Source organism: Homo sapiens, chromosome 6 (genome assembly GCF_000001405.40).
Source record: "Homo sapiens chromosome 6, GRCh38.p14 Primary Assembly".
In the NCBI taxonomy this organism is placed as follows: Eukaryota; Metazoa; Chordata; class Mammalia; order Primates; family Hominidae; genus Homo; species Homo sapiens.
This window is the reverse complement of record NC_000006.12, coordinates 159,363,004-159,383,515: the sequence shown is the minus strand read 5'-3', so window position 1 is coordinate 159,383,515 and position 20,512 is coordinate 159,363,004. Positions and strand designations below refer to the sequence as shown.

The window sequence follows — 20,512 nt, the reverse complement described above, 5'->3', positions numbered from 1 at the left end:
CTCAGCTCTGTCTTTATCATTCTTTTCAACTCAGTCTGGATCTTTATCACTTTGAAGGCATAGGTGGCACTTCACAGACAAGCACATTTCAGTCATCAAGTTTTGTATGTTTCCCATGATTGTGACATATTTCTACCTCATATCCTAGTTAATAGAACACAGGAAGAAAACAGGCTGCACAGGTTATTTGCATGAAGGGATGAAGTGGCAGGAGAAATGAAGTCTTCCTAACTCTGGCCTCCTGCTGCTACACAAGCCAGGCCAATGATGTGGCAAGTCCAAGGGGCACATGGCTTTTCAGTGTCATTGTTTGAGGAGGCCATGAGTGGTTTAGCTGGTGGCCTCTGCTTCTTTTTCTTTTGAGTGCTTCTGAATACATGACTGTGCTCTGAATACAGAGCTACCACTGCGGGGTAAACCAAGCCACAGCTGTCCTCTTCCAAGGTTAGGGTCGCTGCTCAGCAGGAGCTGATGTGCTACAAGGAATGATGATCTTCTACTGGTAAGATAATTTCCAAATCTTTAAAGGTGAATTTAGAGTGAGGGGTCCCCTTACCTGTGGTGTTTAATCCATCCTATCTTAATATCTAAAACTTTATAATGCCTTCTTGTCTGTTTGTGGTGTTGTTGTTGTTGTGTGTGTGTGTGCGTGTGTGTGTGTGTGTGTGTGTGTGTGTGTTTAAAGGTCTTGGCACAGATGCCGTGCTCAAAACATGTTAACTGGATTCAAATCTATATTTTGATTAATCAGAAATACATACCTGCATAAACACTGCTCTTGGAAAAGTTTAGAAAAGAGTTTAGCCATCTGTTTTCTGGTTTTCCAGTTTGACTTTCTTGTTTGTAGTTCCGCTGAATGGTATCATTCTCATCCCTTGGCAATGGTTTTGTAGAGTTATAGTTTCTGGTAGGGGAAGGGCTTCGGTTCTAAAGTTAGTGATCAGATTAAACGCAGGTGAGATGCAACACCAGCATATCATAATTATCTTATTTTCTGCTTTGCAGTCCCTAATATCCAGTTAGGTAAATCACAAGGATTCTTATAATAACACCTATGTTCTCCCCCAAATAAAATGGAGTTATCTTCCTTTTTTAAAATAACAAAATCCACAACTTTATCATAGAGAAACAAGCCTACTGAGCAAGATCACTATAATCATTTAAATATAAAAATACTACAAAGGCAAATACTTCACCCTCCAGCCCTAAATTTACCTTTTATTTTTTCTGAAGCTCTAAACTTTCCCTCTTCATTTTCACACATTGAAAGCAGTCCCGAAATTTTCAGGAACAATGGCAAGTTTTCAAACGTTTCCTAGAAAGTGCGTAACCCTATCTTTCTCTTTGATCTACTGTACTTACATCGGCAGATCAGTGTGACACTTGCAAAGCCAGGTATTTTTATCCCAGTTCATTCAAAGGTGGACCAGAAATAACACAGCTCCTGGGCTTGAGGGGTGGTGGGGGTGGTGGGGGAAAATGTGGCAGGAGAAGCTACGAGAATCATAGGGCAAGCAAGGCGGTCCTTGAGGAAGAAAGCTTTCTAAATAACACACTGCTCCATTCTTTCTATCCCTCTTCAAAGCTGTTTCGTTCCTAACCCATTTTTCATTAAGTTTAACTCCTTTGGAAAAGTCTCGTCACTTTCCTAGGGAAAGTCTCCAGGGGAGCGAGCTTTCAAGATCTGCTGCGGAGTGTGTCCTGCCAGTGCGTGGAAGGCCGTTTGTTTACAAAACTTGGTGAATACCCAGATGGCGCTTCCCTGTGCCCTGCAGCTGCTCAACAAGCAAGGAGACTTGCAGGCACCCACAGAACTCATTCTGTGAAGCCCTTTCTTCTCAGAAGAGTCTTCACTGCTATTGTGACGTCCTGCTTGCCCCTCCTGTTTTATTCCAGAGGCACAACGTTAACACAAAATGTTGGAGATCATGACAGCGTTGGGCTCCAAAAACAGGATTGTTTGTTGTTTTGAAGCCAGTCCCCAAAATGACTTGAACTTCTAAAGAAGAAGCTGGCATCCTTTCTATCATTTACACAATCTGAGGTTCAGTGTGTGAGGATAGGAATGGGGATGGGGTGGGTCCACTTCTATCCATTAGGGAACTCCAGTAATATTGTGGATTCAAGAATATGCCAATTTTTCCAGGTGGTAGCTTATTTAACTATTGTTAGGGATAACTCAAAGAGCTTTGTATTGCACCTTTACAAAGTTATGGAAGGGCTACTAAATAACATGTATGGGATTAGTAAATTGCAGAAATGTTTGCACAGGCATCAAGATGCCAAGTAGTAGCATCTCCATGGTGACCTCTCTCCAGTAATGCTTGGTACACAAGCATAGCTGCAATGCAAATTCCCTAGACCCCTCTTCTAACTAGATGGCCAGCCACTCATCGCCAGTGTTTCTTACGGTGAGTGAAAAGAGAGTCTCAAGAAGTCTGTGTATTAATTGTTACTGCATAGCGAATGACCCAAAATGCAGAAGCTTAAACAACAGTCATCTTTTATTATTTCTCACGGTGTCTGAGAGTCAGGAATCCAGGTAGGGAACAGCAGGAGTGGCATGTCTCTGCCCCATGACTTCTGGGGTCTTCGAGGGAAGACTCAAAGGCAGCGTGTTGAAATCCTTGGGGGGGGTCATCACTCTCATATCTGCTAGTTGATGCTGGCTGCTGGTTGGGCCTGAGGCCTTGAGTCAGAACACTGACATGTGAGTTCTTGATGTGGCCTGGGCTTCCTCACAACATGGTGACCCTCCAGAGAAAGAGAGAGAGCCTGGAAGAGCTGTGTGCCTTTCCCTGCCCAGCTTTGGTAGGCTTGCAGCATTGAGTCCACTGAGCTCCACTGGCTAAGTCAGTTATAAAGGACTTCTCTGGCTCAAGGGGAGGGAATGTAGATACCACCTTTCTTTGGAGATGAGTCCAATAATATTAAGAGTATGTGGGATGGAAAATGCATTGGTTCAGCCACCTTTGGAAGATAGAATCCGCCATCGGTACCTTCCCCAAATACACAGGCTTCCTTGTGGAACTGGGGGATATATTATAAACTCTAAATAGCAAAGGCACTTCCTGAATAAATACTAATTGGCTGTCTGTGAGACATGCAGTGACTCCAGGTCTCCTGTGGGGTGGGACAGCTCAGGAAGTCCAAGGATTCAGTGAAAGCCCTAGAAGAGCTTGCCAACTGGAAGAGAGGGAAGCTGATGGCTGGACTCCTCTCCCAGTTATGCTTTTGGGTAAACATCTGGAAAGCACAAGGCTTAGCAAGTCAAGAGCCAGCTACAGCAACACCATAAAAACACCCTGCAGCTGAGTGCACTGGGTGTTTTTGTAAGCGGCATCCCACCTGGTCCACCAGACAGTGAGCTAACTGAGGTGTGGATTTTCATAGAGATTCAATGGTAAACAAGAAAGATGCATCTCCCACATCCAAGGAATATGTGTTTGGTTGGAAGAGTTGGACAATAAACGAAACAGAATAAACAAAGTGACAAACAAACACGCTAGGTAGTGATGCGCATTGTGGCAATCCCAGAACAGGTGATGGTGGTGACACACAGTGCCCACACCCAGCACAGCAGGGTACACTGTCATCAGTAATCGCCTCTCCAGGAAACCAGCGGCACTCATCAGACTCAGTTACTCATGGTCTGTGAGTGAAAGAATTAAAGTCCCTGGAGAGACCCATCAGGAGCACCAATGACCAGCAGATTGCACAGGTCACCTCAGCAGCAAAGCCAAGGCTACATCTTGGCATTCCTGGCTGCAGCCCATTGCTCTCCCCATCCTGCACATGACTCCAGACAGTGGCAGCCTATTCAGCATCTCAGGGCTGTCAGGAGTGGCATCTAGGGAGGACCAGGTGCTCTCTCCATCTGTGGCTTGGAATGTGTGCTCAGAGTCCCCTGAGAACAGACAAACCCGTGAAGAACCAACTGAGAAATATAATCTTCCTGTCCATTCAGATCAGGAAATAAATTAAAACATCTTTCTTTACATAGTAGATTTGAACATGAAAAGCTGATTGTAAATACAATCTTTGTGGATTAAACTGTATTTTAAAAGCTCTCTAAAGTCAGGATTGGCACAATGTTGATAGCCATTGGACAAAGGGTGCGTGAGGGCTCATTAGACTATTCTCTTTTGCTTGGTGTGTGCTTGAAATTTTCTCAAATAAAAAGTAAGTAAAGAGGTAGATAAAATAGCTTTCCTCTGGCAGTACATTTGTCCCTCTTTCCCTCTCTTTCTCTCTTAAAATGAGAATGATTACTTCCAACAAATAGTTTTTGTAAAACTAAGTCTTGCAAAAAATGACTTATAGTTGTTTCTGTACATTGGGTTTTTCTGAAGCCAAGCACAGCATACTGAAGTGATTTGCAGTATTAGCCTCGCCTTTAATTCCTGTGATAGTTAAGTAATCATGAGTAGGCATGTTTCTACCTACTGCAAATAAATTTGTGGGGCATCAATAGGAGATGTGGGATTGATGTCATGATGAGAGAGACAAGGGATGAACCTGGAGGTTGTGAGGCTGAGGTTCGCCCCCTTCTCTCTTCCAGCTGGTCTGGGACCCCTGGTCACATCTCATTACCTCTCAGGGTCTCGGTTTTCTCCTAAACCAGCTCTGGCTCATTTCAAGAATCCTTTCCTTCCAGCACTGTAGAGAGTTCTGGGGGTCAAAACATGTTGTAATTCTGAAATCACCAGGGTCGCGTGAGACGAGGACAGGGATGAGAGATTAAAACTCCCCGTCTCCAGGAATAAGAAAGCAATACAGTCCCTCAAGGCCATTAACGATTTTCATGATCCGTAGATTTCTTACCACTTAATTCTGTGCTCTCCCTTCTTTAGGCTAATATTTTAAACATTATGAAAAGGAAACCAATGAAAAGATGAGTAATAGCTTCTGGCTGTTGAGCACAGTTTCACAATATTTTTGAATTTCTCAGATAACACTGCATATTAATGTCATTTTCTTCACTGGGAAGAAAGTCAGCAGACCTTCAGCCAAACCATGACTACTTGGTAACCTGCTGAAAATTCTATGTTTGAACTCCTGCCCCAGCTCCACCTTTCACCTTGACTGGTAGGGCGGTCTCTCAGTGGTCTCTCTTCTCATCCTCTGCCAACAATGTCAACTATGGTATCTCTGGAAGACAGGAGGAAAAAGACCAAATGCTCACAGTTTGATGTGCTTATCATTCTTTCAGATAATGGGATTGTGAGTTCTTATTTATCTTAAATTTTCTGCATTTTAACTTTCTTCTTAGTGCTTTCTACATGCTCCATGTTTTCTTCAATGAGCATGCATTACTTTATACTCAAGAAAAGAGCAATGCACACTGTTTTTTAAAGCCGCTATTGCTACTCCTCAGACTAAATCCTTCATTGGCCCTCCACTGACATAGCATAAAATCCAACGCATTGGTTTGGCTCCTCCACCCTCAATGCCTGGCTGGCTACCCTCCTAATCTCACCTTCGTCACCTCTTCCCTGACCTCTGTCCCTTCCCCTTCCCATCCTCCTTCCCACCTGTGCTCACCCACACCTGCCATACCTCAGACACCAAGGAGCCCTCCGTCTGAATCTACCCCACCCACAGAGGTTTCCCTGACCACTCCCACACTTTCTTTAGGAGCCATTTCAAGCCTGGCCTCTGCTGGTCCCCAGGGAGCCTCCCCTGCTTCTCCAGGGTTCTGGGGCACCTCGCCTCCCTGACCATACTCCTAGAACAGGCCACAAACAGCAGCATGTGGTGTGTTCTCACAGCTGTTCTTCATTAGACCGGAAGTGCCCTGAGGACAGGCTCAGTGCCATTACTTCCGTTAATTTTCTTTTTTCTTTTTTTTTTTTTTTGGTTCTGGTTTTTTCTCTTTGACCCCAGCAAAATTATTCATTGAATGTTTCCTTGAGTTTTAAGAGGCCTACACAGCAATTACACATCACTAGAGTCTTTTTTATTTCCCAAGAAAAGCCACTTAGAAATAAAAGTATGAAGAGTGTTACATGCCGAGGACTTTCCAAAACACACAGACTTTCTAATGGTGTTGCCTAAAGCGTGTTGCTCCTGCTTTGCCTGTGCTAGGCTCCTGCTCTGCCTGGAATGCCTTCCTTTCCTTGTCTACTGGCAAACTCCTGGTCACCCTTCCAAACTCGGTTTTGACACCCATGCTGCCCTCCCCTGCAGCTCCTTGAGCTAGGATCTAGAGACGTCCCTCTGGAAGGTGCCTCAGGGTACCCTTTCCTCTCCAGGTGCCGTCGTTTGCATATCTATTTCCCCCATAATTCCCTAGAGACGCTGACCAGCCCCTAGAGGTTCTAGTTTAGTGCTTGTGGAAGGAAGGAATTTCATGTTAGCAGTCCACATGCCAGGGAGTGCTTGGTGGATATGCAGACAGGAAGTTTAATAACAGGGAGATGCAGGGACCTCAGGAGAGCTTTGCATTTGTTCTCTGCACAGGGCACCCGGCTGGGGATGAGTGGGATCTACCACCCCGGGTCTGTCCTCTAGGATCCCCCAGGGCAGGGCTGCCTGCCTAAGGCATGACCCTGATCCACGCCGGTGTCATGGGGGCTAACAGAGTCAGCCAGCATCCATGCAGTGCCCGCCGGCCATCCTTCCCACAGTAAGCCCCAGATTCTCTATTATTTTTGAATTCTTCTTCCCATCATTCGTCCAGGGTCTTGCCAGTTCTGAGACCAAAGAGTTGCAAAGAATCACCCTTTAGGAATGTAAAATGATTCTTGTTCCAACAAGGCTCCACTTAATCATACACTCTACAAATTCAGGGAGCTCATTTGGGTAAAATACAGTTTTTCCTTTTCATACGTTTGCTGCTTTCTCCAAACAAACTCGAGGAAAGACTGCAACATCAGCACTTTGACAATTTGGAACTGAAATAGAGAGTCTAGAGTCTGGGATTTCATGTCTCCTCTGATTGAAAAAATAAAAATTCTTTGAAGTGCATAAACTTGTGCTTGGCAGTGTTTTCATCTGACATTGTTTAATTTTTCACAGACCAAGCTAAAGCAAGAAAAATTATTCTCCCACCCTTCACCAGCAAGATTCTCTGCCTTCTCAGCCTTTCACACAGCCAGGGCTGGGGACCTCCTGAAAAGTGGTGTTGGCCCTTCCATCAGGCAGACCTCAGACCAGAATCCCTGCCTCCTCTTCATCTTTCTACCCGTCCTGCCCCCACCCAAGTGACACACGCCACAGAAGGCAACCTGGAAATTGCCTTGTGCACTGTGGGGCGATGGGAAGTGGGGGCAGGCTTGGGTCAGGTGCTGTCACCTCTGCACCCATCACACACATCTTCCTCCCTAATGCCGGGGTCTCAGCATGGGTGGGAGATGTCAGCATCTCGGGGAGGAGGACTGCTGTGACCCACAGGGAGACACATGCACCTGCCCCCACCGTGGCTTCTGCCCTCCTCCCCAGCAGGGATGGTGATGGCCGGTTGAAGTGTTGACTGAGCTTGGAGCCAGGTGCACGGTGGCTGCTAGGCGCCTTCACTCCATCCTGGAACAGCAGGAGAAAGTGCCTCATGAAGTTCGGAAGAAATAAAGGGAACCTAAGCATGTTGCAGGGCTGCTTTATCTCACAAAAAGCACATCAACAGCATCTGCTCTTCAACAGGACAACAGAACCAGGCCTCCTGACTGCCCCTCCCTGCGCTCCGGGCCTGCAGAAGGCGCCTGATGTGACTTCGCATTATTTTGAAGCTGGAAAGGCAGACATTTTAAGCCCTAAAGAGGTTTTGCCTTCTGAGGTAGGTATGAGGATATCTTCCAATCTCCCTTTGGTCCCGGGGGGATGGCCAAACCTTGCATGCAGCGAAATCACCCAAATAATGAAGCTTCGGGCCGAGGCGCCGTGTCCCATGGTGTGGACTGGGCATTTCCCAGGACCGTTCCCTCCTGGAATTAGGCTGCCCATGCCAGGAAACTTCTTCTCACTCCCAGGAGCTCAGGAGCTGAGGAGACCCGCAGGGACATCTGGCTGGTGTCCTCCCCACGACTCTGGAGGAAAGAATAGAATACCAAAAGGCGCTGAACATCACCACACCCCCTGGGGCCATGACATCCTCGGTGAACCGTAGGACTGGGGGACTGAGGACGGGTGATTCCAGAGCGTCTTGCATCGTCGCGTTTGGAGGACGGTGATCCTCAGTGACCACCAATCACGCACGCCGGGTGGGCGTGGGAGGGATGTTCCCAGCCTTAGCCATTGAGGAAAAGCTCAGCCCCGGGGCAGGGCAGGGAGGTCAGGAAGGGAAGACCTGAGCGGGAGGGGAAGGGGCAGGGAGAGCGGCTGGACTGTGAGCAGCTCCACGAGGGTGTGGGCTAGGATGCAGGTAGGAGCTCCTGGGAGAGCAACCCTGGGGCCAGGCTGGGGCTGCGTGTGGACCCCAGGAGAAGGCCCTTCGGGAGCAGCCGCAGCTATGCTGCGAGGTGTGCTTTCCTAAACTCAGAGGCTCTTGGTGAAGTGTGTTTCGGGCAGAGCCCAATCTGTCACGGGCTCTGGGAGCTCCAGGCACAAGTGTGGGGACGTCCCTAGGGTCACTGCAGCCAAGGTGGCATCAAGGCAGCAATGAGGGTAAGGCAGGGAAGCAGGAGATGTAGGGGTTTATCCTGGCAGCCCAGCACAGTAGGCAGCTTGTGAAATGGCTTGGATGAACCCACCTTGGCATTCACGGCTGTGCTATGCCCTCCCCTTGAGTGTGAACCTGTGACTTGCTCCTAACCAACAGGATGTGGCAAAGGTGGTGGCATGTCACTTCCATGATGAGGATATACAAGACTGTGACTGCTGTCTTGCCAGCAATCTCTCCTGCCTTCTCCACTTGGTCTCAAGAAGCCATGGTGGAGAGTCCCATGTGGCAAGGACCTGAATCCTGCCCACAGCCACTTGAGCTGTGTGGACCCTCACTCAGTCGAGCCTTTCCCAGACACCTTGGCCCTGGCTGATAACCAGATTGCAGCCTGTGACAGACCCTGAAGACAAGGCTCCCAAGTAAGGTGTGCGTGGATTCCTGACTCACAGCAACTATGAAATAGTAAATGTGTGTTTTAAATCACTATCTTGTGATTACAGAAGCAGATAACTAATACAAGTATAATAGTATCTTGTAGCATGTTTTAAGACATGTTAAAAAAATTGTCTAGGGAGATGTAATCAGAGGGTGCTATATGCTATTACTGGCCATTGTAACGCTAGGGGACTTCATTGTATAACCATGACATTAAAAGGAAGTGCAGTTTATTCTGTAGTCACATGTTGATGAGGCTACAAAAGGCTGTTTATTTGAGAAGTTGCTTGTGAATTCTTTATTTCTCAAGACTGTCTCTCTCACTCTTTGCTCAGAACCACCTCACTCTTCCTGAGTCTCTCTCCCATTGCCTCCTACCTGAGCACGGCTTTCCTGCCCTCCTCGTTTGATCAGGAACGCAGTTAGACCGTGTGCCTGTCTTTTTGTTTAGCTTATGCAGGGCATGTTGACTCCCACTGGCTGCTTCATTGCATCCAGTGATCAAGTACTGCTCCCGGTCCCCTACCTCCACCCATGTCCAGGTCTGGGTTTGGAGATATCATATCCCAAGTGGAACCAGGATCTTGGAGCCCTCATGTGTCCAGAGGAGGAATTAGACATGGTGTATGCATCTGTTCAAGGTATGCGTCTACTCAAGACTTAGAGTAATTAATGCATAATCAATTCAAAGTGAGTGAGTAACTGGATGATTTAAGGGAACACCATACAACTTTAATGACTGAAGTCTTTGGAGGACAGCCATGCCCCCATGCGGCCCGCTTATTGGGATCACTGATTCAGACAGAACTCAGGACCGAACATGGGCGTGAACACAGGCCAACCCATTCTGGCACTTTCCCTTTGGCCTGTGCTCCTGGGACCAGAGGTGGCCTTAGATACTTGCTTGTGAATGGTGGCAATTCTAGGCAAGTCTCACCACCACAGAAGCCCAGAGAGAGCCCAGGAACTTTGTCATCCAGGAAACTGCTACCTCCCACCACTCTATACTTCTCAACTTACCTCTGTCTGATTAGAGCAAGGCCTAATTTCTCAATGTGTTTTCACTTGGTTGGAATCCAGTTGAAATGAAGAATTTGGAGATTTCAGTGTTTCCAGTTGGAATCATAGAATCCTTAATTCTTCACCAGCCTTTTAACTGTATTTCTCAGATATGACATCTGATGGCCCAGCCTTTTAAAATCGCCTTCGTGATGTTGCAATTTCTGCTGACATACTGTTGAGGTCTCAGGAAAAACTGGAAAACATTTCCGCAATGGACAAAGTGCTATGTTTAGGAAATTACTCACATTTCACTATCAAAATATCATTTCTGCCTAATTTGCTTCATACAAAATTGTTTAAATTAAGTTTATTTTAAACAAATTGTTTTGAAGGGTTTAAGACACCAGCCATTTGAAAGACCTCCTCATTCTGAAATACCAAGAAAAAAAAATCACCACCTAAAAGTAAAGAAAGATGAAGGGATCCATGTGTGTGTGACCACTTTCTCAGGCCTGGCCTTCACACAGATGCTCCTAGACAAGGGTTAAATCAGGTAATGAGGCCAGCAGAATACATGATCTCTTGCTAGTTTTTGCACGTGGCATTCTTGATCTTGGGTAGCTGGTTGTTTTCTCAGACCAAGAGGGAGGCTAACAGGCTGAACCCAGGGGTCTGGTTAACAAAGGTTACTATAGGGTGCTAGTGATGCCACAGCGACAGGCTGAGTGTTGGGCCAGATAACTTCCAACTGTTCTAGCCTGCTACACTTAGTCACCAAACCCTGACCTCGCACCTTTGTTGGAAAGGTGAACCTGTGAGACTGCAGAGTCGGGCTAGAGTGTGGGTCTTTTATCTAACATAACATGCAAGTTCATTTGGAGGGAAAAAGCAAAGCTGGACTTCAAATTCCTTTGTGTGGCAATGGGTCTCCAGGGATCTGGACTTGGCCTGGGTTCTGGGAGCTGGCCTAGCATAGAGGAGGGATAAGGCTGTAGACTCTGGAGCCAAAAATCAACATCAGAATCAGTCAGAACAGGAAGACTAGGGAGAAACTGACAGGAGAAAAAAGTTTTGCAGCAATGAGGCTCCAAGAAGAACAAGGACAAGGACATATAGAGGACAGGAGAGAAGGTGGAAGCCCAGGAGACTCTGAGGCACGGGGACCTCTGCAGGACCATGAGGTCTTATCTCTGGGTGGCAATAGGGCATGAAGGCAGACTCAGCATAGGAAAACCAGGGTTTCTAAGCCGGGAATGGAGTTTAGAGAGTCACCAAGACAGAAGCGGGGCCAGAAGCTGGCATCAGAGCCATGGTCTAGAGTTAGCAAGACAAGACGAATATCAAATAAGGACCAGTAGTGGGTGACATGGGCAGGGCAGAGGGAAATCCTTATCCTTGTTCTGGAAACCTGTTTTAGTTTCTCCTTACATTAATAAATCACCCAATGCATGATTTATGAACAAACCAGATATATTATTGATAGGGCCAGGGCTGGAAAGAATACTATATGCGTAACATGGACAGTCATTGTACAACCAGTAGTGGAAGACTGTCAGTGGCTCAGGACAATTTCATTCTCATGGTGGGAAAAAGAAACACAAGCCACAAGACCCTCAGACCCTGGGTCTGTTGCTCCCCATTTGTTCATGAAGAATAGTGTCTCAGTCTGTTTTCTGCTACTATAACAGCATACTTGTGATGGTTAAAACTGAGTGTCAACTTGATTGGATTGAAGGATGCAAAGTATTGATCCTGGATGTGTCTGTGAGGGTGTCACCAAAGGAGATTAACATTTGAGTGAGTGGGCTGGCAAAGGCAGACCCACCCTTAATCTGGATGGGCACCATCTAATTAGCTGCCCATGTGGTCAGGATATAAAGCAGGCAGAAAAATGCGAAAAGACTAGACTGGCTTAGCCTCCCAGCCAGCATCTTTCTCCCGTGCTGGATGCTTCCTACCTTCAAAAATCAGACCTCAAGTTCTTCACCTTTGGAACTGGGACTGGCTTCCTTGCTCCTCAGCTTGTGGATGGCCTGTTGTGGGACCTTGTGATTGTGCGAGTTAATACCACTTAATACACTCCCCTTTATATATATATCCTATTAGTTCTATCCCTCTAGATAACCCTGACTAATACAGATTTTGGTACCAGGAGTGGTTCTAGAGGAACAGAATATTAAGGATAGAGTTCTTTTGTTGGTTTTGGGGTTTCTGGAGTTGGCTGCTTAATATGATTTGACCCAAAAATGTTAAGGATTCTACTTCTAATAATATGGAGAACACTGATAGTCCTTGACATGAACTGTTTAGAAAGTTATACAAAATAATTTCATGTGACACTCCTTATTTACTGCTCATGAGAGGCAAGAGGTTTAGTGACTTTATACATAACAGCTTTGACCATATGTGGAGAACCAGGGAACATAATGAAGCTGTTTGGTTGTTCCAAAGTTCACTGGACAAAGTGATGAAAGAAAATTATGAACTCAGGGATTCTAACTCTTGGCTTCAGAAGCAGATACGGAGCCTTAAATCTGCTAAGACTTCCCTGAGTGAGAATCTTATCTCCTGTAGAGAAAGAGCTGAAATTGTGGAAAAACAGGCACAAGCTCATACCATGCAAGTGGCTGACCTACAACAAGAGGTGGATGCACAGCCTCGCAAGGTGTCTACTGTTAAATTGACAGCATTCACTGGATAAGAATGGGACCCTGCCACTTGGAATGGGGACGTGTGGGAGGACCCTGAGAAGCTCAGGACACTTAGCTTGTAAATGCTGGTGAATATTTTTTGACAGAAGAAACAGCTTCCCCATCCCCGGTAGTGGCAACATCCCCTCCCTGACCCACACTGCCATCAACCTTTTCACCTTTGTCTGAGGAGATAAACCCTGCACTGCCTGAGGCAACACTGATTGCCTCCCTGAGGCAGTTGCCAGGCAAGATAGTGTTGATTCTCCTCAGAAGCCACCCACAATGGCCCTGTTTGCTTCTAGACCTATAACTAGACTAAAGTCCTGGCAGGCCCCTAGAGGTGAGGTTCAGAGTGCACTACACTCAGAAAGAACTGCTTGAGTTTTCTAATCTATATAAGCAGAAATCTGGAGAATAGGCATGGGAGTGGATATTAAGGTGTAGGATAATTGTGGAACATAGAGTTAAATCAGGCTGAATTTATTGATTTGGGCCCACTAAGTAGGGATTCTGCATTTATTGTTGCAGCTTGGGGACTTGAAAAAGGTTTTAAGAGTTAATTTGCTTGGTTAGCTGAAATATGGATTAAAAGATGGCCCACTGTGAGCAAGCTGGAAATGCCTGATCTCCCTTGCTTTAATGTAGAGGAAGGGATCCAAAGGCTTAGGGAGATTGGGATGGTGGAGTGGATTAGTCACTTTAGACCTACTCAACCCAGCTGGGAGGGCCCAGAAGATGTACCCTTAACCAATGCTTTGTGAAATAGACTTGTGAGGGCAGCATCTGCATCTTTGAAGAGCCCTGTAATTGCCCTTCTCTGTATGTCAGATCTAACAGTGGGAACCACAGTCACTCAACTACAAAATTTAAATGCAATGGGAATAATTGGATCCTGAGGTTGCAGGGGCCAAGTGTCAGCACTGAAACATCACAGGCAAGGTGGGCATAGCTACCATAATGGACAGCAGAGGCAAAGCAGCAATCAGAATAGTCTGACTCATGTAGAGCTGTAGCTTTGGCTAATTAATCATGATATTCCTAGAAGTGAAATTGATAGGAAGCCTACTGCATTCCCACTTAATTTATATAAGCAGAAACCTTTCAGGTTGAATGGAAAAAAACTAATTTGAATTACAGAAACAGAGAATCAAAACCCCTCAATCAATTTCCAGACTTGAGCCAGTTTACAGACCCAGAACCCCTTGAATGAAGGGAAAGCTGGTTCCCGTTAAGCAAGGACCCCACTACACTACTGACAATTTATGCTGCTAATCTTTCTCCCATCCTTTCCCAGGAGACCTCTGGCCTTTTACCAGGGTAACTGTGCACTGGGGAAAGGGAAATGATCAGACATTTTGGGGACTACTGAACACTGGCTCTGAGCTGACACTGATTCCAGGGGACCCAAAACATCATTGTAGTTCTCCAGTTAAAGTAAGGGCTTATGGAGGTCAGGTAAATTAATGGAGCTTTAGGTCAGGTCCAACCTACAGTGGGTCCAGTGGGTCCCCAGACTCATCCTGTGGTCATTTCTTTGGTGTCAGAATGCATAATTGGACATAAATAGATACACATAGCAGCTGGCATAACCCTCACACTGGATCCCTGACTGGTAGGGTGAGGGCTATTATGGTGGGAAAGGCCAAATGGAAACCACTAGAGCTGTCTCTACCTAGAAAAACAGTAAATTAAAAACAATTTGCATCCCTGGAGGGATTGCGGAGATTAGTGCCGCCATCAAGGACTTGAAAGACACGGGGGTGGGGATTCCCACCACATTCCTGTTCAACTCTCATATTTGGCCTGTGCAGAAGACAGATGGCTCTTGGAGAATGACAGTGGATTATCATAAGCTTAACCAAGTGGTGACTCCAATTGCAGCTGCTGTACCAGATGTGGTTTCATTGCTTGAGCAAATTACATCTCCTGGTACTTGGTATGCAGTCACTGACTTGGCAAATGCCTTTTTCTCCATTCCTGTCCATAAGGCCCATCAGAAACAATTTGCCTTCAGCTGGCAAGGCCAGAAATATACTTTTACCATCCTACCTCAGGAGCATATCAGCTCTCTGGCTTTGTGTTATAATCTTATTCAGAGAGAACTTGATTGCTTTTCATTTCCACAAGATATCACACTGGTCTATTATATTGATGACATTATGCTGATTCGATCCAGTGATCAAGAAGCAGTAAACACACTGGACTTATTGGTGAGACATTTGCATGCCAGAGGATGAGAAATAAATCTGACTAAAATTTAAGGACCTTCTACCTCAGTAAAATTTCTAGGGGTCCAGTGGTGTGGGGCCTGTCAAGATATTTCTTCTAAGGTGAAGGATAAGTTGCTGCATTTAGCTCCATCTACAACCAAGAAAGAGGCACAATGCCTAGTGGGCCTATTTGGATTTTGGAGGCAACACATTCCTCATTTGGGTGTGTTACTCCAGCCCATTTATCGAGTGACTTAAAAGGCTGCCAGTTTGAAATGGGTCCAGAACAGGAGAAGGCTCTGCAACAGGTCTAGACTGCTGGGAAAGCTGCTCTGCCTATTGGGCCATATGACCCAGCAGATCCAATGGTGCTTGAGGTGTCAGTGGCAGATAAGGATGCCCTTTGGAGCCTTTGGTAGGCCCCCTTAAGTGAATCATAGCAGAGGCCTCTAGGATTTTGGAGCAAGGCCCAGCCATCTTCTGCAGATAACTACTCTCCTTTTGGGAGACAGTTCTTGGTTTGTTACTGGGCTTTGGTGGAAACTGAACGTTTGACTATGGATCATCAAGTCACCATGTGACCTGAACTGTCTATCATGAACTGGATCCTTTCTGGCCCATCTAGCCATAAGGTAGGTTGTGCACAGCAGCATTCCTTCATCAAATGGAAGTGGTATACACATGATCGGGCTCAAACAGGTCCTGAAAGCACAAGCAAGTTACATGAGGAAGTGGCTCAAATGCCTATGGTCTACACTCCTGCCTTCTCGCCACCAGTCTGCACCGATGGCTTCATGGAGAGTTCCCTATGATCAGTTGACAGAGGAAGAGAAGACTAGGACCTGGTTCACAGATGTTTCTGCAGAATATGCAGGCACCATGCAAAAGTGGAGAGCTGCAGTGCTACAGTACCTTTCTTTTTTTTTTTTAATTTTATTATTATTGTACTTTAAGTTTTAGGGTACATGTGCACAACGTGCAGGTTTGTTACATATGTATACATGTGCCATGTTGGTGTGCTGCACCCGTTAACTCGTCATTTAGCATTATGTATATCTCCTAATGCTATCCCTCCCCCCTCCCCCCACCCCACAACAGTCCCCGGTGTGTGATGTTCCCCTTCCTGTGTCCATGTGTTCTCATTGTTCAATTCCCACCTCTGAGTGAGAACATGCAGTGTTTGGTTTTTTGTCCTTGCGATAGTTTGCTGAGAATGATGGTTTCCAGTTTCAACCATGTCCCTACAAAGGACATGAACTCATCCTTTTTTATGGCTGCATAGTATTCCATGGTGTGTATGTACCACATTTTCTTAATCCAGTCTATCATTGATGGACATTTAGATTGGTTCCAAGTCTTTGCTGTTGAGAATAGTGCCGCTATAAACATACGTGTTCATGTGTCTTTATAGCAGCATGAGTTATAATCCTTTGGGTATATATCCAGTAATGGGATGGCTGGGTCAAATGGTATTTCTAGTTCTAGATCCCTGAGGAATCGCCACACTGACTTCCACAAAGGTTGAACTAGTTTACAGTCCCATGAACAGTGTAAAAGTGTTCCTATTTCCCACATCCTCTCCAGCACCTGTTGTTTCCTGACTTTTTAATGATTGCCATTCTAACTGGTGTGAGATGATATCTCATTGTGGTTTTGATTTGCATTTCTCTGATGGCCAGTGATGATGAGCATTTTTTCATGTGTTTTTTGGCTGCATAAATGTCTTCTTTTAAGAAGTGTCTGTTCATATCCTTTGCCCACTTTTTGATGGGGTTGTTTGTTTTTTTCTTGTAAATTTGTTTGAGTTCATGCTACAGTACCTTTCTAGGACATCCCTGAAGGACAGCGGTGGAGGAAAATCTTTCCAGTAGGCAGAACTTCAGGCAGTGTACCTCGTTGTGCACTTTGCATGGAAGGAGACATGGCCAGATGTGCGATTATATACTGATTCATGGGCTGTAGCCAATGGTTTGGCTGCTGGATGGTCAGGTACTTGGAAGAAGCATGATTGGAAAATTGGTGACAAAGAAATTTGAGGAAGATGTATGTGGATAGACCTCTCTGAGTGGTCAAAAACTGTGAAGATATTTGTATCCTATGTGAGTGCTCACAAAAGGGTGACCTTAGCAGAGGAGGATTTTAATAATCAAGTGGATAGGATGGATGACCCATTCTGTGGACACCACTCAGACTCTTTCCCCAGCCACCCCTGTCATCACCCAATGGGCCCATGAACAAAGGGGCCATGGTGGCAGGGATGGAGGTTACACAGGGGCTCAGCAACATGGACTTCCAATCACCAAGGCTGACCTGGCTACAGCCACTGCTGAGTACCCAATTTGCCAGCAACAGAGACTAACACTGAGCCCTTGATATGGCACCATTCCTTGGGGTGATCAGCCTGCTACCAGGTGAGAGGCTGATTATACTGAACCTCTTCCATCATGGAAAGGGCAGAGGTTTGTCCTCATTGGAATAGACACTTACTCCAGATATGGGTTTGCCTATCCTGCACACAATGCTTCTGCCAAGACTACCATCTGTGGACTTATGGAATGCCTCATCCACCATCATGGTATTCCACATGGCATTGCCTCTGACCAAGGCACTCACTTTACAGCTAAAGAAGTGTGGCAGTGGGCTCATGCTCGTGGAATTCACTGGTCTTACCGTGTTCCCCATCATCCTGAAGCAGCTGGATTGATAAAATGGTGGAATGGCCTTTTGAAGTCACAATTACAATGCCAACTAAGTGACAATACTTTGTAGGTCTGGAGCAAAGTTCTCCAGAAGGCTGTGTATGCTCTGAATCAGCTTCAATATCCTATTAGTTCTGTCCCTCTAGAGAATCCTGACTAATACAATACCACAGACTATGGACTGGGTAATTTATAAGAAAGTAAGTTTGTTTAACTCATGGTTCTGTATGCTGGAAAGCCCAAGAACATGGCACTAGCATCTGGTGAGGGCCTTCTTGCTGCATCACAAGTCAAGAGGGCAAGAGCATGCATGTCAGCTCAGGACTCTTCCTCTTCTTATAAAGCCACCAGTCCCATCATGGGTGCCCCACCTTGTTGACCATATCAAATCCTAATTACCTCCCAAAGGTCCCACCTCCATCAACATATAAATTTTTGAATTAAAATTTCAATATATAGGATTTGGGGGACATATTCAAACCATAGCAGACAGCATCTGCCTGTAGGAGATGGGCCATCTTTGAGGACTGCAAGGCAGAGATGAGATTTCATTCTCCATCCTTGAGCTCCAGATTGAGTCTTACAGGGAGAGAAGCCAGGTTCTGAATGAGGAACCTTGTTGACATTTCCTAGGAGCCTGGTCAGTGTCTGTCATCCCAGCTGCATCTGGGAAAGCTGTTGGTGCTAGAAGGACATGAGCTGAGGGGGGAGGCTGCAAACGTATGACCCAGAGCATTTGTGTTTCTTTGCTAAATTCTACCTGTGTTTGGAGTTTCCCACCTCAAGTTATTTTGTTGTTAGAATTTTTTTTACTTAATTTTTTTTCTCCTTTGCCAGCAGGAAAATAATTGTTTCACATTTCTCTTGAATATTATTCTCTTCTTTCAACCAGAGACAGGAGTGAATCTGCTTTTGTAGGGCCTGAAGCATACACAGTTTAGGAGTGGTAAGGTTTTAACATAAAGATGACTACAAAAGTGAAAACATTAATTTAGAATGAGAAAAGAAGCCACAATATATTATAATTTTTTAAAGCTGTCTTATGAAACATCATAAGACCTGGAAAAATATTACACTGCTTTTATTTAATTACCTACCTGGCTCTATAACACCTCTTCCCTTGCATTTTTGGCCCCATATTCTGATCATTTCTTATGATGACAATTTAATAGAGAAAATCAAGATACTTCAGTCCTCTCTTGAGCATGGTTGTTTTACTATTGACAGTTAGGAAAAGTTTCTGTTAGCTTCCCAAGTCATTTTTGATGATGCTGTGTAAAGTTTTAGGAGTATTTTCAAACCTGGAAAATCTCCACTGGGCTCCCCTCCCATGGTGCTATTACAGACAGATTCACTTTTTGCAATACCGCAACAGGCCGTGCCCTTCAAACACAGATGTTCTGATAAATTCTATTTTGTGTGATTCCCACCAAAGAGGAACAAAGCTGTGCAGCACATTTATAATGTCATGCCCTGAATTATGGAGTATATTCCTGACAGGAGAGAGCTTTAACTTGGAATAGGTATACTTGAGAACTAAATCTTCAGCTCGTGCTTTTCATGCCAGGTGTTGGAAGAACTTTCTATGAAGTACTTTCTGATTCCATACATTTCAAGCCTTGATTCTCTTCCACTGCCCACATGCATCCAGTGTCAGGCACTGGAGGACACATCTGTGTTTCAATAATTTCTGTGTCCTTGTACCTTTGTGTCTGACCTGCGTGAGTCAGCAGGTGGGCGGGAAGACTATCCCTGCAAGCTGTTCCCATAGAGGGATGACAGGCAATTGACCCCTGCATATGGGGTGACTGTCAGCTGTAATGTGACAAAGGGGAAGGGGAACAGCAGAGACAATGTTGTTGGCCATGAGCAGCCAAAATATCCTACCTGTGCACTTTACCAAAAACACATAAAGGAGCTGAGCAGATGCGGAGCTTTGGGGTAGATGCTCTGGAGGCTGGAAAATGAAAATTTTTCTAAAATGTACTAGTTTCTCAGCAGTCATATTTCCAAGCCCTTACATTTCACCTTTGTTCCTAAAAAGAGCAGTTTTTAATTTATTTTTTCTTTTGCACATTTTCACACTTTTCTCCTTGTTTTCACAGTGGACACTTTAGCTGTCTTCCCACATGCTGACATATAGTACTTAGGATTTCAAAATTATGTTTATTATTGTTGTTTAAAAAGTACAAAGTCTTCAAATGTAAAAATTATTTAGGTGAGGCTAGGTGCGGTGGCTCACGCTTGTAATCCCAGCACTTCGGGAGGTAGAGGCGGGTGGGTCATTTGAGGTCAGAAATTTAAGACGAGCCTGACCGGCATGGTGAAACCCCATCTCTACTAAAAATACAAAACTTAGCTGGGCATGGTGCCATGCCACCTGTAATCTCAGCTACTCAGGAGGCTGAGGCAGGAGAATCACTTGAACTCAGGAGGCGGGTGTTGCAGTGAGCCGAGATTGCACCATTGCACTCCAATCTGGGTGACAGAGTGAGACTCTGTCTCAAAAAAAAAAAAAAAAAAAAAAAAAACACAACAAAAAAGGAGAATTTTAGACCAATATCCCTGATGAACATTGATGCAAAAATCCTCAATAAAATACTGGCAAACTGAATCCAGCAGCACATCAAAAAGCTTATCCACCATGATCAAGTGGGCTTCATCCCTGGGATGCAAGGCTGGTTCAATATATGCAAATCAATAAATGTAATCCAGCATATAAACAGAACCAAAGACAAAAACCACATGATTATCTCAATAGATGCAGAAAAGATCTTTGACAAAATTCAATAGCCCTTCATGCTGAAAACTCTCAATAAATTAGGTATTGATGGGGCATATCTCAAAATAATAAGAGCTATTTATGACAAACCC

At 45.2% G+C, this 20,512-nt stretch overlaps 1 long non-coding RNA gene across 2 annotated transcripts; it reads left to right on the top strand.

The window, feature by feature from the left end:
• The first annotated feature begins 188 nt into the window (after positions 1 to 188).
• On the top strand, positions 189 to 8,185 carry LOC105378084 (uncharacterized). Of its 2 annotated transcripts, none has more exons than XR_943176.1 (3): positions 189 to 502; positions 7,642 to 7,774; positions 7,968 to 8,185. It is a non-coding gene; the product is annotated as an uncharacterized LOC105378084 (long non-coding RNA). The 2 variants fall into 2 exon arrangements; XR_943175.1 differs by having other exon boundaries at positions 7,447 to 7,774.
• The last annotated feature ends 12,327 nt before the right edge of the window (positions 8,186 to 20,512 follow it).